Source organism: Homo sapiens, chromosome 11, assembly GCF_000001405.40.
Source record: "Homo sapiens chromosome 11, GRCh38.p14 Primary Assembly".
Taxonomy (NCBI): Eukaryota; Metazoa; Chordata; class Mammalia; order Primates; family Hominidae; genus Homo; species Homo sapiens.
In genome coordinates, this window is record NC_000011.10 from 99989151 (window position 1) to 100008318 (window position 19168).

At 37.6% G+C, this 19168-nt stretch overlaps 1 protein-coding gene across 12 annotated transcripts in view; it reads left to right on the forward strand.

The window, feature by feature from the left end:
- CNTN5 (contactin 5) overlaps positions 1–19168 on the forward strand; it is a 1337937-nt gene that overhangs the window by 968202 nt on the left and 350567 nt on the right. For all 12 annotated transcript variants that reach the window (XM_017017926.2, NM_014361.4, XM_011542871.2 and 9 more), the window contains one exon: positions 12884–12986. In XM_017017926.2, the coding sequence (XP_016873415.1) occupies positions 12884–12986 (103 nt within the window). The remainder of the gene's footprint in view (positions 1–12883; positions 12987–19168) is intronic.

Sequence of the window (19168 nt, forward strand, 5' to 3'; positions counted from 1 at the left end):
GAAAAGAGCCAACTCTGATTGGGGTGCAAGAGTCCCATAGAAGTATTCAGAGATCTTCAAATAATTTAATTGCTGAATATTTAATTGTTGAATTGTGTCATTTGGAATTGCTATATTTTTATTTTGATTTAATTTCCTTTTTAGTCAGTAGAGCCATTCTTCCATCATTACTGGGCCCACTTTGCTTTCAAAGAAGTGTTATTGGCTGTTGGAAGCAGAATCCTAATTTGTTGAATATTTGATTTGTCATTCTAAACCATATTCACACACGTCTTGGTGGCAGGTCATAAAAATCAAAGTACCAACTTTTTTTTTCTTTTTCTAATTATTCAAAAGGCTCCAATTCTTACACAAATAGATAGACACATACACACACACTTCACCAAGTCAAATTAACCTTAAATTGTAAAAAACCACCCAAAAGCATTTTAAATTATGAACTTATTGTAAAATATTTGTTTCTGATTACATGCATGTAATTACAGAGAATTTTCTATCATTTTATGCGTGGAAATTTATGAAAATAATAAACATCTACTTTTCTTTAAAAAAAACTTCATCTCACTTAAAGTAAATATTTAACCCTTTGTTATAAAATTTTAAAAGTTTGCTCTATCTTTTTTTGTGTGTGAGAGAACTGAGTCTCATTCCACTGCCAAGGCTGGAGTACAGTGGCACGATCTGGGCTCACTGCAACCTCCGCCTCCTGGGTTCAAGCAATTCTCCTGCCTCAGCCTCCCGAGTAGCTGGGACTACAGGTGCATGCCACCATGCACAGCTACTTTTTTGTATTTTTAGTAGAGACGGGGTTTCACCGTGTTAGCCAAGATGGTCTCAGTCTCCTGACCTCATGATATGCCCGCCTCAGCCTCCCAAAGTCCTGGGGTTACAGGCGTGAGCCACTGCACCTGGTCTCTAACATATTTCTTAATGCCAGAGAAAACTTTCATGTTTGGTAAATATATATAGTTGCTTTCTTCAGGCCTTACATTTCTAAGATCTATTTCTAAGTTATTGATGCACATGGAAGGAGCCCTCAAATGATGGTGGAAAGACATGAATATATTTCTCTAAATCATAGTGGCAAGAACAGGATAAGAAAATAAGTCTTAAAATTTAGTAATCAGAAGAAAGTGATTATAGTGTAAGCCAGCCCCTTGATCAATTTATTCCTGATGCTTGGAAAGGGAAAATAAATTTATTGGCTTCCCTTATTTTTAGAATGTATTTATTGGCTATTTTCCAAAAAAAAATATTTTTAGAATAAATTTATTGGCTTCCCTTATTTTTAGAATATATATATATACACACACACACACACACACACACACACATACATACTAGTGATGAAAAACATTTTCTCCTAATGATAAAACTCTCTAGGTTTTTTCAATCATCCTACATAAATAATACTCATAATGGTGCATTTATTTGTTGGTAACATAAGCCATTTATGTCAGAACATTCTTCAGTCCTTTATTTACATAGCAATCACTCACCTTAAGAAACTATGATTCAGGATGATATACACTTTTTGAGGTGAGAAAAAACTTTGTACTTCTCAGTGGTTCTTTAAGGAATTGAAAATAAGGCATCTGGACATGTTTCTAAATGATTAGAATTTCCAAATACTATAACATATTTATTTGAATACAGTTACCTACAAAGATATATGTTGATAAATAATATATAATCTAACGTACTACTAGATTTCTAAACCCTCAAGAACATCAGCTCTCTCATTATGTATGAGACAACTGGAACCCAGAGAAATTCTGATTGCTTCAGTGTTGCAACAGAGCTAGGGCTGGAGGAGGGAATTGTGTCACTTAACTATGCATCACAGGTAGATATTTAATATGCCCTGAAAGGATAAGTACAATGACATATCTCACACATAGCACAATATCTTTTGCCCTGTCTAGTGTTATGAATGTGACAGAATCCAGATAGGTTATGAGCTAGAACCTGATATTGTGTCACCATTGGTTATGCTTGGCACAATGACGTAACAGTCAAAACTCTTCTGGTTACAGGCCAGGCGTGGTGGCTCACGCCTGTAATCCCAGCACTTTGGGAGGCCAAGGCAGGTGGATCACAAGGCCAGGAGATCGAGACCATCCTGACTAACACGGTGAAACCCCGTCTCTACTAAAAGTACAAAAAATTAGCCAGGCGTGGTGGTGGGTCCCTGTAGTTCCAGCTACTCGGGAGGCTGAGGCAGGAGAATGGCCTGAACCCGGGAGGCAGAGCTTGCAGTGAGCCGAGATTGCACCACTGCACTCCAGCCTGGGCAACAGAGTGAGACTCTGTCTCAAAACAAACAAACAAACAAACAAACAAAAGACAAAAAAATAACTCTTCTGGTTGCAACTGAGAAACCCAACTTGAAATAACCAAAATAGGGAATTCATTTAATTTCATGAGAGAATGGCAAGATGCTAAATCCCAGATAGAGCTGACATGCAACCAACACTGTTTTTTCATCTCTCCTCTATCTGTATTGACTTAATTCTGTCTTAATTGGCTGCCTTTCAATAGCAAACTACTTCCCTCCATGTAGTGGAAGCTCCAGTGACTGTCAGACATGCAGGTTTGTTTGTTTGTTTGTTTGTTTCCACTCAAATACTCAAGCAAGTATTGAGACTCAGACTTCCTGGTCTCTGATTGAAAAGTTTCAACCTCAGCTGCCCATTCATGAATCACTGTGAACAGGACAAAGGGGTAATCAAACTGGCCAAGGTTGGGTCAGGTGTCCATACCAAGTTAATAACCACAGCCAGGAAGATAAAACCTATTCAGGAATACAGTGGCTCCTATTCAACTCACATCGTCATTGAATATAGAAGAAACATGTCTCAAACGAAGCAATGAAAAAATAGTTGCTATTTTTTAGAAGACAAGAAACAGATATGAAGTATGGTTGGCAAAGATGTTGAAGGCAAAAATGACAATACCCATTATTTAGACATACGAAAATGATCAGCTAAACCTTTCCAACTCATTAGTCCAGCCAAATTCTCAAGGTTTACTGGACAGGAGTTCTTAACTCCAGCAATGATTATTACTAAAAGTGTCAGACAGAATGGCCATTTGAAATATGCAACAACAGGTATTTCATAGACATTGGCCTATCAGAACAAGACCTTCAGCCAATGAGGAAAAACACTCAGCTCTGCTGGGAGTACCAGCACATACAGGTTGAATATAATTTGCCTTAATGTTAGGGCAAGTTGCCACTGAATACTGTATGTTTGACAGCATGACTCTCTGCATGCCGTTTTTCAGACATTTTAGTCAGTTATACTCTAATCCTCAGAAGGACAAGTCACATGAGAAAAATCAGAGTAAAGAAAGGTCCATTCTTGAATTTTTTTAATGTTCATAAAATCTGCTAAGGAAACTATCAAAATATGAAGTTCATAGCCCTACCTTCAAAAAATATTCATCATCAGGCTTAGAGTTGAACTCTGTTGCCTGAAATTTTAATAAGTTGTCCAGGTTTTTCTGGTGTTTTGGCTCTCTGTTCTGTAAGGTGCTTGGAGAAACACTGCTCTAAATTACGTGCCACTTAGGGAAAAGTATCCTAGCTCTTCAAAAGTAATTGGAATAAATAAGAAAATCAACAACCATAAAGACAAAGAAGGAGAGTAATGTGCTTTCAGCTGGAAGGCTTCTGTTTATGAGAAATTAGGGTAATTTAAGGTCATCTTCTAATGGCACGTAATTCTAAACTAGGGCAGCCACATAAGCCAGGATAGACAGGTCTGGGGAAAGAAACGGAGACACACATTGAGTGTTTCTTGAGCTATATATTCAGCTCCATACTAGGGGCAATCAAAAGATCAAAGAGCTACCTTGACTGAAGAGACAAGCCTGATATTTTGATCTTTGACTGTGTGTCTTATGGGACTGTCTCCCTTCCCTTTCAGCATCAAACTCTGCCTAACAAAAGGAATTTGAAGCTAAACTGCACAAGATTTGAGATACTAAAACTTGCAACTGAAATAAACCATGTAGCCAAGTCAGACAGTCAGTGATTAATGTAGTACATATAGTATGCCTGGACTATTATACTCTGTGATTGAAGTTTCTCAACACAGTGATCTCAAGAAAATAGCTCTGCACATAAGGTCCGAAAATCCCTAATTTTGCAACACTTTTATCAGCAACTTTCAGTAGGACCTTGGGCCAGTTACTTGACCTCTTTGACTCTCAGTTACCTCATTTCTAAAAGAAGAAGGGTAAATTATATCAGCTAAGGCAGTGGGTGGTTCCCAACCATTTTGGCACCAGGGATCAACTTCATGGAGGACAATTTTTTCACAGACACAGAGGGATGGTTTCAGGATGAAACTTTTCCACCTCAGACCATCAGGCTTTAGATTCTCATAAGGATTATGCAGCCTAGCTCCCTTGCATGCACAGTTCACAACAGGGTGCAAACTCCTGTGAGAATCTAATGCTGCCACTGATCTGACAAGAGGTGGAAGTCAGGCAGTAATGCTCACTTACCGGCCTCTCACTTCCTGCTGTGCAGCCTGGTTCCTAACAGGCCACAGACCACTGCAGGTCTGTGGCCTGGAGGGGTGGGGAACCCTGAGCTAGGCTCAACTTTAGCTGTAACACAATAATCCCATGAAATGTAAAGCAAAACGTAACCACTGAATATTATCATTTGTTAAATGGCAAGATGTCTAAAAAGCTTTCTAATATGTCCTTATATCATCACTCTTAGTGTGATGAGAAAATTTTAAAAACCAGTTATAATTTCTTGCAGTATAGCCCAAATTAGGTAAAATAATTTGAAGCCTCTTATTCAACTCTTTTTGTTTTATTTTTAATATATAGTTCAGATATTAGCAACCTCTTGGGGCCAGAAGTGAGGCTTAAGAATGCCTTTGGCCATAATGGAAATTATTTGAGGAACTCCAGAAGGCTGTATCTGGGCAAAATTACCCCCCAAATACTATCAGAAGTACCCATCCTTTGGGTCATTTTTAACGACAATGGCAACAAAAGAATGTCTTCTTTGCAATTTATAAATGTAATCTGGAAGAGAAGAGAGACTATATGGATCTGATCTGACTCATATCAGTCAATAGTGTCATTAACTCTTTGGTATTATTCACAGGCAGATGTAGATTCTGAAGAGCCTAAAATGTCGTACAACCTTGGTACCTTACTTAATAAAAAGAATACTAAAGAATTAATATAAAAGTGGGTTCTACAAATAGTATTATACTTAGAAAGAGAAAAAAATCAAAATGAATTACCGTAGCTTTGGAGGTTGAAGTCCCTTTCTCCTAAGATCTCTTTAGACAATTTACTAGAAATAATTATATAGAAATATTTTCCAAATTTGACCTTCCACTCCAACACCCTATGACACTGAGTAAATGCCAGCACTCACAGGGACTCATGCATATAAGAGGCTTAGGTTTAATAAGCATCATGATAAATCAGGTGTTATTGTGTCATCAGATTAACAGGTAGAAAAGTAACAACAATACCAAATCAATTTTAAGAATAGGCAGGGAAATCGGAAATTAAGTTTGAGGACTGCTTCACAAGAGCATTCATAGGTAGCTTCTAAACAGGATGCCTGGAGTCTTCCTATGGGGCTTACAAGTAAGAGAGCATTAAAGATAAACTTCACATCATTAGAAACATTCGGCTGAGTTTATAGGTATCACCAGCAGACCACATCCTGCTATTCAAGTAGCTAGTAGAGACACCATGGGGAAAAATGCTGACATGAAGAGGAAGTAAAAGAAAGGAACCTGGCAGGTATAGTATGGAGGGGCATGGGGAAATATTTAAGAAGAAGCAGATGAAGCAAACATTATTGATAAAGAGAGAAGAAGTCGTTAAACATTTGTTTTTGGTGACATAATAGTGCTAACCACTCAGTTCACTTGCTATTTATCAGGCTCTTGATGTGCAGCAAATTTTAGACTGGAAAGTAATTGAGGGAGTTAGCCTTTTAGAGTAGGACATTATATTGGTGATAATTCCCTTCTATGTCCTCAGTAAACTGATTAGAAAAATGAAACCCAGAGTTTTCTGATCTGTCAGAGATGGTACAGACTAGACATTCAGTGAAGCCAGGTCTAGAAGCCAAATCTTTGTGATAAAAACTTTAGTGACATTTTTTTCTCCTTTGCCAAAAAATTAAAAAAAAAAACAATAAATACCACAAAGAGCAAAGATAACCTTTCTGTCTTATGTGAGATTAAACATTTTCCATCTAAACTTATCCATATGCTTTCTTCAAAACTTATTTCAAAACCTACATAACAAATAAATAGATAAATATTAAACACATAAAATGGTTTTCTCGCCAAAGGTAGCCCTTTTTTTCCCTTTGCATGTCCAGTGTATATGACCTTCATATCTTAAAGAATTTATCTTACTCTATTTGGATTTCTTCTTCTTTCCTCTCATTCCACATACATATGCAAAATAATTGTACAGAGAACTACATATGCACAAAGATGCATCCATGCTCATATGGCCACAAACATAGACACCCCCAAACACATGCACAGTCTCCTCAGAGAAGCATCTGTGCCAAATCATGGCTGTTTTCTATGTGGTATTTTACACATAGGGGGCTTCTAAAAATTAATTTTAGGAGAAAATTTGCTCCAAGGCTATCTGATGGCACTAGCACCAAAATCCACCAGGCCTCAGCTATTGCATTGTTTTCTAATAGGTGAAAGACCTATCCAGTCTCACTGCTTCATCTACCACCTCTAAATGACTGTAGGTGTTCTCCCCTGTCTAGAACTCATCCTGAGCGTCATTCTCTCATTTTTACTGTGTGGTCAGATACTTTCTTCTGAATATCTTGTAGGTACTTCAAACTCATTACCTCCAAATTGAAGCTCATCAGCATTTCTACTTTAACCGTGTCCTTTTTTCTTTTACTGACATTGCCAAATTCCCCAAGCTGCAAATTATAGTGTTATTATTGACACTGCCCATGCCCTTATTCCTGTACCTCATTGTCTGCCGAGTTTTGCCAATTCAGTTATTAATTGGTTTTTCCCATCTAGTGCCTTTTGTCTGTTTTTATTACTATTATTACAGCTCAGGTCTTTATCTTGTATTACTGAAGTAATGTCATTGATTTATTTGTCTCTGCTCCAGTTTCACTATATACATCTCAGCATAATGCAGCTTCCCTATTCAAAACCACTGTAGCTCCAAAACAGATTAAAGTCTAAATGTTTTACTCTGATAATCAATGCTCTCTATTTTTCAGATTCCATCTGTTTTTTCATTCCATCCATATATTTCCAGATTTATCTAATATCACTTCCCTTCACATATCCAGATGTCAGAAAAATTGATATTCCTATTTCTGGTCACTTCCCATCTCTTTATCATTTTTTTATAGCTCCATTTACTCTCTCCTATCTTTTTTCCACTTATCCAAACCCTCATTATTCTTATGATCTCCTCAAATATGCATGTATTAGTCTGTTTTCACACTGATAAAGAATACTTGAGACTGGGTAACTTATAAAGAAAACAGACTTAATTGACTCACAGTTTCACATGGCTGGGAAGGCCTCAGGAAACTTACAATCATGGCAGAAGGTGAAAGGGAGGCAAGGTACATCTTACATGGCAGCAGGAGAGAGAGAGGGAGCATGGAAAACTGCCACTTTAAAAGTCTCAGATTTCATGAGAACTCCCTCACTATCATGAGGACAGCATGGGGGAAACTGCCCCCATGATTCAGTCATCTTCCACCAGGTCCCTCCTTTGGCATGTGGGGATTACCATTTCAGATGAGATTTTGGTGGGGACACAGAGCCAAACCATATCATTCTACCCCGACCCCTCCCAAATCTCACATTCTTTGCACATTTCAAAACTAATCATACCTTGACTCATTTTAGCATTAATCCAAAACTCCAAGTCCAGTTTATCATTTTTGATTGCGTCTATTTGATTCTTCTCTCTTTTTTTCTTTATTAGTCTTGCTAGCGGTCTATCAATTTTGTTGATCCTTTCAAAAAACCAGCTCCTGGATTCATTAACTTTTTGAAGGGTTTTTTTGGTCTCTATTTCCTTCAGTCCTGCTCTGATTTTAGTTATATCTTGCCTTCTGCTAGCTTTTGAATGTGTTTGCTCTTGCTTTTCTAGTTATTTTAATTGTGATGTTAGGGTGTCAATTTTGGATCAACTACCATCAGAGAATACTACAAACACCTCTATGCAAATAAACTAGAAAATCTAGAAGAAATGGATAAATTCCTCGACACATACACTCTCCCAAGACTAAACCAGGAAGAAGTTGAATCTCTGAATAGACCAACAACAGGAGCTGCAATTGTGGCAATAATCAATAGCTTGCCAACCAAAAAGAGCCCAGGACGAGATGGATTCACAGCCGAATTCTACCAGAGGTACAAGGAGGAACTGGTACCATTTCTTCTGAAATTATTCCAATCAATAGAAAAAGAGGGAATCCTCCCTAACTCACTTTATGAGGCCAGCATCATCCTGAGACCAAAGCCGGGCAGAGACACAACCAACAAAGACAATTTTAGACCAATATCCTTGATGAACATTGATGCAAAAATCCTCAATAAAATACTGGCAAACCGAATCCAGCAGCACATCAAAAAGCTTATCCACCATGATCAAGTGGGCTTCATCCCTGGGATGCAAGGCTGATTCAATATACGCATATCAATAAATGTAATCCAGCATATAAACAGAACCAAAGACAAAAACCACATGATTATCTCAATAGATACAGAAAAGGCCTTTGACAAAATTCAACAATCTTCATGCTAAAAACTCTCAATAAATTAGGGATTGATGGGACGTATCTCAAAATGATAAGAGCTATCTATGACAAACCCACAGCCAATATCATACTGAATGGGCAAAAACTGGAAGCATTCCCATTGAAAACGGGCACAAGACAGGGATGCCCTCTCTCACCACTCCTATTCAACAGAGTGTTGGAAGTTCTGGGCAGGGCAATCAGGCAGGAGAAGGGAATAAAGGGTCTTCAATTAGGAAAAGAGGAAGTCAAATTGTCCCTGTTTGCAGACGACATGATTGCACATCCAGAAAACCCCATCATCTCAGCCCAAAACCTCCTCAAGCTGATAAGCAACTTCAGCAAAGTCTCAGGATACAAAATCAATGTACAAAAATCACAAGCATTCTTCTACACCAATAACAGACAAACAGAGAGCCAAATCATGAGTGAACTCCCATTCACAATTGCTTCAAAGAGAATAAAATACCTAGGAATCCAACTTACAAGGGATGTGAAGGACCTCTTCAAGGAGAACTACAAACCACTGCTCAATGAAATAAAAGAGGATACAAACAAATGGAAGAACATTCCTTGCTCATGGGTAGGAAGAATCAATATCGTGAAAATGGCCATACTGCCCAAGGTAATTTACAGATTCAATGCCATCCCCATCAAGCTACCAATGACTTTCTTCACAGAATTGGAAAAAACTACTTTGAAGTTCATATGGAACCAAAAAAGAGCCCGCATCACCAAGTCAATCCTAAGCCAAAAGAACAAAGCTGGAGGCATCACGCTACCTGACTTCAAAATATACTACAAGGCTACAGTAACCAAAATAGCCTGGTACTGGTACCAAAACAGAGATATAGACCAATGGAACAGAACAGAGCCCTCAGAAATAATGCCGCATATCTACAGCTATCTGATCTTTGACAAACCTGACAAAAACAAGCAATGGGGAAAGGATTCCCTATTTAATAAATGGTGCTGGGAAAACTGGCTAGCCATATGTAGAAAGCTGAAACTGGATCCCTTCCTTACACCTTATACAAAAATTAATTCAAGATGGAATAAATACTTAAACGTTAGACCTAAAACCATAAAAACCCTAGAAGAAAACCTAGGCAATACCATTCAGGACACAGGCATGGGCAAGGACTTCATGTCTAAAACACCAAAAGCAATGGCAACAAAAGCCAAAATTGACAAATGGGATCTAATTAAACTAAAGAGCTTCTGCACAGCAAAAGAAACTACCATCAGAGTGAACAGGCAACCAATAAAATGGGAGAAAATTTTCACAACCTACTCATCTGACAAAGGGCTAATATCCAGAATCTACAATGAACTCCAACAAATTTACAAGAAAAAAACAAAGAACCCCATCAAAAAGTGGGCGAAGGACATGAACAGACACTTCTCAAAAGAAGACATTTATGCAGCCAAAGGACACATGCAAAAATGCTCATCATCACTGGCCATCAGAGAAATGCAAATCAAAACCACAATGAGATACCATCTCACACCAGTTAGAATGGCGATCATTAAAAAGTCAGGAAACAACAGGTGCTGGAGAGGATGTGGAGAAACAGGAACACTTTTACACTCTTAGTGGGACTGTAAACTAGTTCAACCATTGTGGAAGTCAGTGTGGCGATTCCTCAGGGATCCAGAACTAGAAATACCATTTGACCCAGCCATCCCATTACTGGGTATATACCCAAAGGACTATAAATCATGCTGCTGTAAAGACACATGCACACGTATGTTTATTGCAGCACTATTCACAATAGCAAAGACTTGGAACCAACCCAAATGTCCAACAATGATAGACTGGATTAAGAAAATGTGGCACATATACACCATGGAATACTACGCAGCCATAAAAAATGATGAGTTCATGTCCTTTGTAGGGACATGGATGAAATTGGAAATCATCATTCTCAGTAAACTGTCGCAAGGCCAAAAAACCAAACACTGCATGTTCTCACTCATAGATAGGAACTGAACAATGAGAACACATGGACACAGGAAGGGGAACATCACACTCTGGGGACTGTTGTGGGGTGTGGGGAGCGGGGAGGGATAACATTAGGAGATATACCTAATGCTAAATGATGAGTTAATGGGTGCAGCACACCAGCATGGCACATGTGTACATATGTAACTAACCTGCACATTGTGCACATGTATCCTAAAACTTAAAGTATAATAATAATAAAAATAAATAAATAAATAAATAAAAAGTCCAAGTCCAAAGTCTCATTTGAGACAAGAATAGTCCTTTCCACCTATGAGCCTGTAAAATAAAAAACAAGTTAGTTACTTCCAAGATACAGGCATTGGGTAAATGTTCCCATTCCAAATGGGAGAAATTGGCCAAAACAAAGAGGCCACAGGCCACATGCACATACAAAACCCAGCAAGGCAGTTATTAAATCTTAAAGCACCAAAATAGTCTCCTTGACTCCATGTCTCACATGTAGGGCATGATGATAGAAGGCATACGCTCCCAAGGACTTGGGCAGCTCTGCCCCTGTGGTTCTGCAGGGCACAGCACCTCTGGCTCTTTCATGGGCTGCCGTTGAGTGCCTATGGCTTTTCTGGGTGCTCAGTGCAAGCTGTGGATCCACCATTCTGGGGTCTGGAGGATGGTGGCCATATTCTTACAGCTCCAGTAAACAATACCCCAGTGGGGACACTGTGTGGAGGCTCCAACCCCGCCATTCCCCTCTGCATTGCCCTAGTAGAGGTTCTCCATTAGGGATCTTTCCCTGCAGCAAACTTCTGCCTGGACATCTAGGTGTTTCCATACACCCTTGAAATCTAGGAAGAGGTTGCCAAACCTGAACTCTTGCCTTCTGCACATATGTAGGCCCAACACCACATGGAATTTGCCAAGGCTTGGGGCTTGCACCTCTGAAGCAATGGCCTGAGCTGTATGTTGACCCCTTTTAGCCATGGCTGGAGTTGGAGCAGCTAGAACACGAGACACCATGTCTCGAGGCTGCACGGAGAAGTGGGGCCCCAGGCTGGCCATGGAACCATTTTTCCCTCCTAGGCGTCCAGGCCTGTGATGAGAGGGGCTGCTATGAAGATCTCTGAAATTCCATGGAGACATTTTTCCCATTGTCTTCACTATTAACACTCAGCTCCTCGTTACTTATGCAAATTTCTGCAGCCGGGTTTAATTTCTCAACAGAAAATGGGGTTTTTCTTTTCTACCACATGAAAAGGACTCAGAAAACTTACAATTATGATGGAAGGAGAAGGAGAAGCAAGGCATGTCTTACGTGGTGGCAGAAGAGACGAGAGAGAACAGGGAAACTGCCACTTTTAAAACCATGAAATTTTGTGAGAACTCTCTTACTATCACGAGAACAGCATGGGGGAATCTACCTCCATGATCCAGTCACCTCCTACCACGTGCCTCTCGACATACGCAGATTACAATTTGAGATGTGATTTTAGTGGGGACACAGAGCCAAACCATATTGGTGCATAATACTTAATACCTCATTCATGGCAATGATCACTTCTTATCTTTCATTACAGTAATTTGATAGATAGCTTTTCTCCCATACTTGAGTGTACAGTATGTTGTTTCTCTCTTTAAGAATATAGTTGCTGAGTGCTTGAGAGCACAACTGATTAATCTTTTGTTACTCCCACAATATTTGGCAAAATGCCGTGCATATTATAGATATTCAATAAATATTTGACTTTATAAATGAATATTTATTTGGCAATAAGAAAATTTTGATAACTTTTCTTATTTAAAATGGGAAATAGTCATAGTTTTTTTAGAACAATTAGTAACTGTACTACTAATGTTGATTAACAATTTCAATAATTATTAGTTTAAATGATAATGAACATGCATGTAATCTAGTCCTCAGGGGAAGACTAGGATTTCATCAAAATGATAGAGCCTAAGTGTACTACTTATTTCAATACATCGAAAAATTTAACAGTCATCAAACAGACATTAACAACCAAACCACAGTGATTTTCAATGTAACATCTCCAGGATTAAGAAACAAATTGTAACATTCATTTGATGCTTAAAGACTATTCTTTCTTTCTAAGGTGTGATGGGAGAATATGAGCCGAAAATTGAGGTCCATTTTCCTTTCACGGTTACAGCTGCTAAAGGAACAACTGTTAAGATGGAATGCTTTGCACTTGGCAAGTAAGTACATGTTCTTCCATAATTAAACACAATTTTTTATTAAAATGTGACATATCTTATTTTTGGATCACTTATTTTGCTAGGTGTCATTTCCCCAGTTGTTCCATGGTGGCTATTTATTTTCTAAAAGAAGGTCAAATGGCAATTGATGAAGTAATCAGTTACAGTTATCTTCTAGTCATTTCTATGGACAACAGTTTCTATAATTTTGCTATTTTAACATAAAAAAACTTCTTTAATGAATAAAAAGCTTTACATCTTTACCTATGTATCTTAAAATTTAAGTGTCATCTTTAAATTTCATTCAGTCCTTATGTAAATAAAGAAGATAGAAAGGCAAAGTACTATCTGCTCCTCATGTATAGGATGTAGATTCTTATAAGACATAATAAGACAGCAGATAAAAATCATGAGGATAATAGTTACATAGTGATCCTGTGTATTACCTTAGTATCTCCTGAAATCATAACTTAATAGCACCAGCTGTCAATATGTACAACATGTAATCATTTCCCAAATGAGAGAAAGAATTTATGTCACATGCTAATGCCTGCCATATTTAATGATTATATTTCTGAGGGTTTACAGCCCAGGATATATAGTCACTTGTCAATGATGTTTACAGTATAGGTATTGAGATCAGAGGCAGAAGTGGAATTTTGATTATATTTGATTATTGTATTATGATTTATTTTAAACAGAGTGTTGTTTTCTTTTTTTTTAGGATGCTAAGACTTCAGGGTTCTTTCTAGACACTATAATTTGCATAAATGTATCTCTGTCAGAGTTACTAATTACTTAACTTCAGTTGCAGAGAGCAAACTCCCACAATATAACTATAAAGTACTCGGAGATAAAGCCAGATACACAAGTGTGATTATTAAAGTAGGTTTAGCCTTTGGGTAAGGAAAATATTAGTAAATATGACAAAAAATCAGCTAGCTAAGGTAGATTTAAGGAACGAACATAGTAAACACCGTGTTTTAATATCAAGAATGATTAAAATAAGACATATATGCAATTCTACTTTAAGTAGAAACAACATCATAATAGACTATAAGCAAAATGAATTGTTATGTGACCCATCTTTTAAGCAAAAGATAGCCAGAAGTAGAAATAAATTTCAAAATGTAAAATGTATCTAGGAGGTATTTGGGCAGATATCTGAGGAAGCCTCCTAAACCTAAAGATGTTAGTTAAGCGCATAAGATTGAATAATAGTTAAAAGTCTGGTTTGTCACCATTTGCTGTTCTGTGTCAAATAGGTCTGAAAATGTCCCAAGTAAGAAGCTCAATACTGACAAATGCAAAAATAATATATTCTGGCTTGAAGACAAGGGTTTTAGTGTATCCTGTAGTTAAATAATTCTTCAGTGCCAGAATTTATACTAAGGCCACAAACAAAGGGAGGTCATATTGTAAAACAAATTAGAAAACTAGACTTATAGGAAAAAACCAATATAAATATTTCCCCAGGCAAGCTTATTTAATAAGTTAGATGTGGTTGCCTTTGGAAGCCTTGAAATATGTTTAGTAAATTGAGGCTTACAGTCTCTTTCATTCTAGGTAAGACCCAACAGTCAAATCACTAAATCACTTATGTTCTTTTAATATGTTATTTTCTTCAACCTTTCTACTCCTTCTTTGCTACCCAACTCTCAAAAGTAAATACATAAAAGGGAGTGTAAAGAAGACTGCTTCACTCAAGAAGGTCTCTGTTTATCACTTGGTGTCCTTTCTAAGAAATGTCACAATTATGGAAAAAAGAAACATCTTATGAAGATGTCTACCCTCTACCTAAAGACCAATCTGCCACCCTTATGAAAATAAACAAGATCAAAGAAATAACATCTTGACATGTGTTCATCCTTTTACAGCACATTGTCTTGTGGTGTGGATCACCATTTCATCCCAACATAATCACAGCAATTGCAAATTAATTCCTGAGCATCCGCGTGGCTCCCACAGCTCACTTGAGCTGCTTCTTACTTCAGCAAGCACATGGTGCTCTTGTGGGCCTTTGTCTGTTGCAAAAACTTCAGTATCTGTCACTGGATATCGTCAGGATCTTACCACTCAGGCTGTTTTCCCCCTCACTGTGTCCTAACCAAACATTCCTTGTAGAGTGTTATAACCAAATTCTGGAATGGAGCATGTCAAACTTTTTTTTTGTCTTGTGGCCTTTGCACTTGCTGTTTCTTACACTGGGATCTCTCTCCCCCTGTTCTTTCCATGGGGGCTCTCATTCATCCTCTGGCCTCAATTTCAATATCACTCCTGAAATAGGCTATCTATGAATGTACATGTTATCTAACTCACACCCATTATTCTCTGTCTGTATACTTTTTAATCCCTTTTTTACAGTCCTTAACACAATTTTAAATTTCCCACATACGTGTTTCTCCACTTAAAACATTTATCTGTGTCAGGATCCCAGATGTAATCAGGATCCAACTCAGACATTTCAATAGAATTTAGTAAAGTGATGAGCTGAAGATCTGTGAGCAGGCTAAGAAGAACAAGAAAAACCAAGACATGTATAAACTCCTGATAGCAATGACTCATTGTCATGTGTAATCCTGAAGGAGCAAGTGGGAGGAGATGGTGTTTCCAGAACCAGGGAAAACTGGAGATATGAAGTGGGCCAGGGATCAACCAATGGGAGCTGTAATGACTGTTGCTGTGAAGAGACACAGCCTTTATATAAGAACACAGCTGAAGAAAGGATTAGGAAATTTATATCCTGACTTCTTTTTCCTCTTGCCTTCTCATCTCCTCTGGTGGCTCTCATGGCTGAAGTCAAACAGAAGCCACTCTACAAGCCTGCGGATGCAATTGTCAGTTCACAAGGCAAGGCAGAGGGTCTGCAGGGAACAAGAAGGTGACAGGCAAGGGAGGAAAACAGAATAGCCAGCACTTTCCCCACTCTTAGGCTTTAATCCCCAAGAAGGCAGGAATCATTACTGTATTCTTCATTTACTTATTCCTAGTGCCTACCACAGCACCTGGCACATAGCATTCAGGAAATAGGAATGAATGAACTTAAAAATATTCCATCTACTTAATCCAATCAACTCTTTATTATTAACAGTTAATCAAAAATAAATAAGTTATTTATGCCTTATCCTGTCCCCCCCACAAATACATCATGTATACTCTGCACCTGTATCTCCTGCTCTCCCGTATTCTCTTATTTATATCCAAAATTACATGCTATACTTGCCTCTACCTTTTCCTACCTATTCTTGCCTCACTCTATCATTTATCTTTGTTAACTTAGACCTACCATTCTCCAACTCTCTTTTTTATTTTTGTGGTAAGAACACTTATCATGACATCTACCTTCTTAATGAGCTTTTAAGTGCACAATACAATATTGCTGACTATAGGTACTAGGTTGGCAACAGCAAATCTCTAGAACTTATTTAATTTGTATAACTGAAACTTTATTTTTATTTTATTCTCAAAGCATATTTTCATGTCCAAGTTGTACTTACTGTTTAACATGACAACCCCAAAAAACTTTCTTGATCTACTGCCTCTTAAGAAGGATTTGTTTGTTGCCTTTTTTGAGGCTAAGGATAAGAGAGATTTATCATATCTATAGAAGCTAGGGCAAAGGATGGAGTGAAAAATATTTATATATCACAAAGTGTAATATTTTATATAATAATGGTTTGAGGGACAAACAAAGAAGATCATAAGTACAAAATCTTGCTATTTTCAACTTTACCTGTTCCCAGCCTTAGCGGAGTAATTCACATTTCCTACCATAAATCACTATTTTTTATCATGTTATTCATTGAACCAAATATGTTCCTAGATATACAGTCATTCCTTGGAGATATTTGAGGTTCAGTTCCAGATGCCACAATAAAGCAAATTTCACAATGAAGAAAGTCACATGAATTTTTTGGTTTTCCAGAGCACACAGAAGTTATGTTTACATTATATTGTATGTTATTAAGTAGGCAGTAGCATTTACATGCCTGGCTTACATACATACAACAATTTACACACGTTGATTTAAAAATATTTTACTGCTAAAAATTGCTCATGCTGATATAAGTCTTCAGCAAATTATCATCTTTTTGCTGATGACTGATGCTATTGACTGATAAGGGTGGTGGCTGCTAAAGGTTGGGGTGGCTGTGGCAATTTATTAAAAGAAGACAACAATAAGGTTTGTCACATTGATTGACTCTGTAGCTTATGATGCTGTTAGATAGCATTTTACCCACAGTAGAACTTCTTTCAAAATTGGAGTCAATCCTCTCTAACTCTGCCACCACTTTGTCAACCAAGTAGATGTAATGGTCCAGATCCTTTGTTGTCATTTCAACAATGTCCACAGCATCTTTTCCAGGACTACACTAACTCAAGAAACCCCTTTCTTTGCTCATCCATAAGAAGCAACTCTTCATTCAACTTTTATCGTGAGATTGCAGCAATTCAGTCACATCTTCCTGTTCCACTTCTAGTTCTTGTTATCTTGCTGTTTTCATCACATCTGCATTTACTTTCCCCACTAAAGTTTTGAACCCCTCCAAGTTATCCATGAGGGTTAGAACCACTTCTTCCAAATTCCTATTAATATTTTGACCTTCCATGAATCACAGCTGTTCTTAATGGTATATAGAATGGCGAATCCTCTCTAGAAGGTTTACAATTTACTTTGCTCAGATCTATCAGTGGAATAATTACCTATGGAATCTCTACCCTTATAAAATGTATTTTGTAATTCATTCTTAAGTCATTGGATTTGAAATTTGAAAATTACTCCTTGATCCATGGGCTACAAAATTGATTTTGTGTTAGCAGGCATGAAAATAACATTAATATTGCTCATCTACATCAGAACTCTTGGGTAATGAGATGCATTGTCAATGGACAGTAGTATTTCTCTTCGCTAATGAGATGCATTGTCAATGGACAGTATTATTTTGAAAGGAGTCTTTTTTTCTGAGCTGTAGGTCTCAACAGTGGGCTTAAAATATTTAGTAAACCATGCTGTAAACATGCAGTGTCACCAGGCTTTGTTGTTCCATTTCAAGAACACAGAGTAGATTTAACATAATTCTTAAGGGCCCTATGATTTTCAAATTGGTAAATGAGCATTGGCTTCAGATTCAACGTCACCAGCTGCATTAGCCCCTAACAAGAAAGTTAGCCTGTCCTTTGAAGTTTTGAAACCAGACACTGACTTGTTTTTAGCTATGAAAGTCCTAGGTTGCATCTTCTTTCAAAATAAGGCTGTTTTGTCTACATTGAAAATCTGTTGTTTAGTGTAGCCATTTCCATCAATTATCTTAGATAGATTTTCTGAATAACTAGCTGAAGTTTTCACATCAGCACTTGCTACTTCACCTTCCACTTTAATGTTATAAAGATAGCTTCTTTCCTTAAACCTTATAAACCAGCCTCTGCTAGGTTCAAACTTTTCTCTTGCAGCTTCCTCACCTCTGTCAGCCTTCATAGAATTGAAGACATTTAGGGCCTTTCTGTGAGTTAGGTTTTGGCTTCAGGGAATGTTGTGGCTGGTTTGATCTACCCAGACCATTAAAACTTTCTTTCTATCAGCAATAAGCCTGTTTTGCTTTCTTATCATTTGTGTTTTCACTGGGGTAGCAATTTTAATTTCCTTCAAAAACTTTTTTTTTTTCATTCACAAGTCGGCTAACTGAGCACAGGCCTAGCTTTCAGTCTGTCTTGGTTTTTGACTTGCCTTCCTCACTAAGCTTAATTTCTAGCCTTTGATTTAAACTGACAGATGTGCTGCTCTTCCTTTCACTTGAACACTTAGAAACCATTGTAGGGTTATTAATTGGCTTAATTTTAATATTATTGTGTCTCAGGGAATAAGAAATCCTGAAGAGAGGGAGAGAGATGAGGGAGTGGCCAGTTGATGGAACAGTCAGAACACATACATTTATTATTTTAGTTTGCTGTCTTCTATGGGCATAGTTCATGGAGCTTCAAAACAGTTACAATAATAACATTGAAAGATGACTAATCACAGATCATTATAACAGACATAATAAAAAATTGAGATGCTCCAAGAATTTCCAAAATGGGACACAGTGATAATAAGTGAAAGCAGGCTATTAGAAAAATTGTGCCAGTAGATTTGCTTGACATAGCATTGCCACAGACCTTCAATTTGTGAAAAACACAGTGTCTGC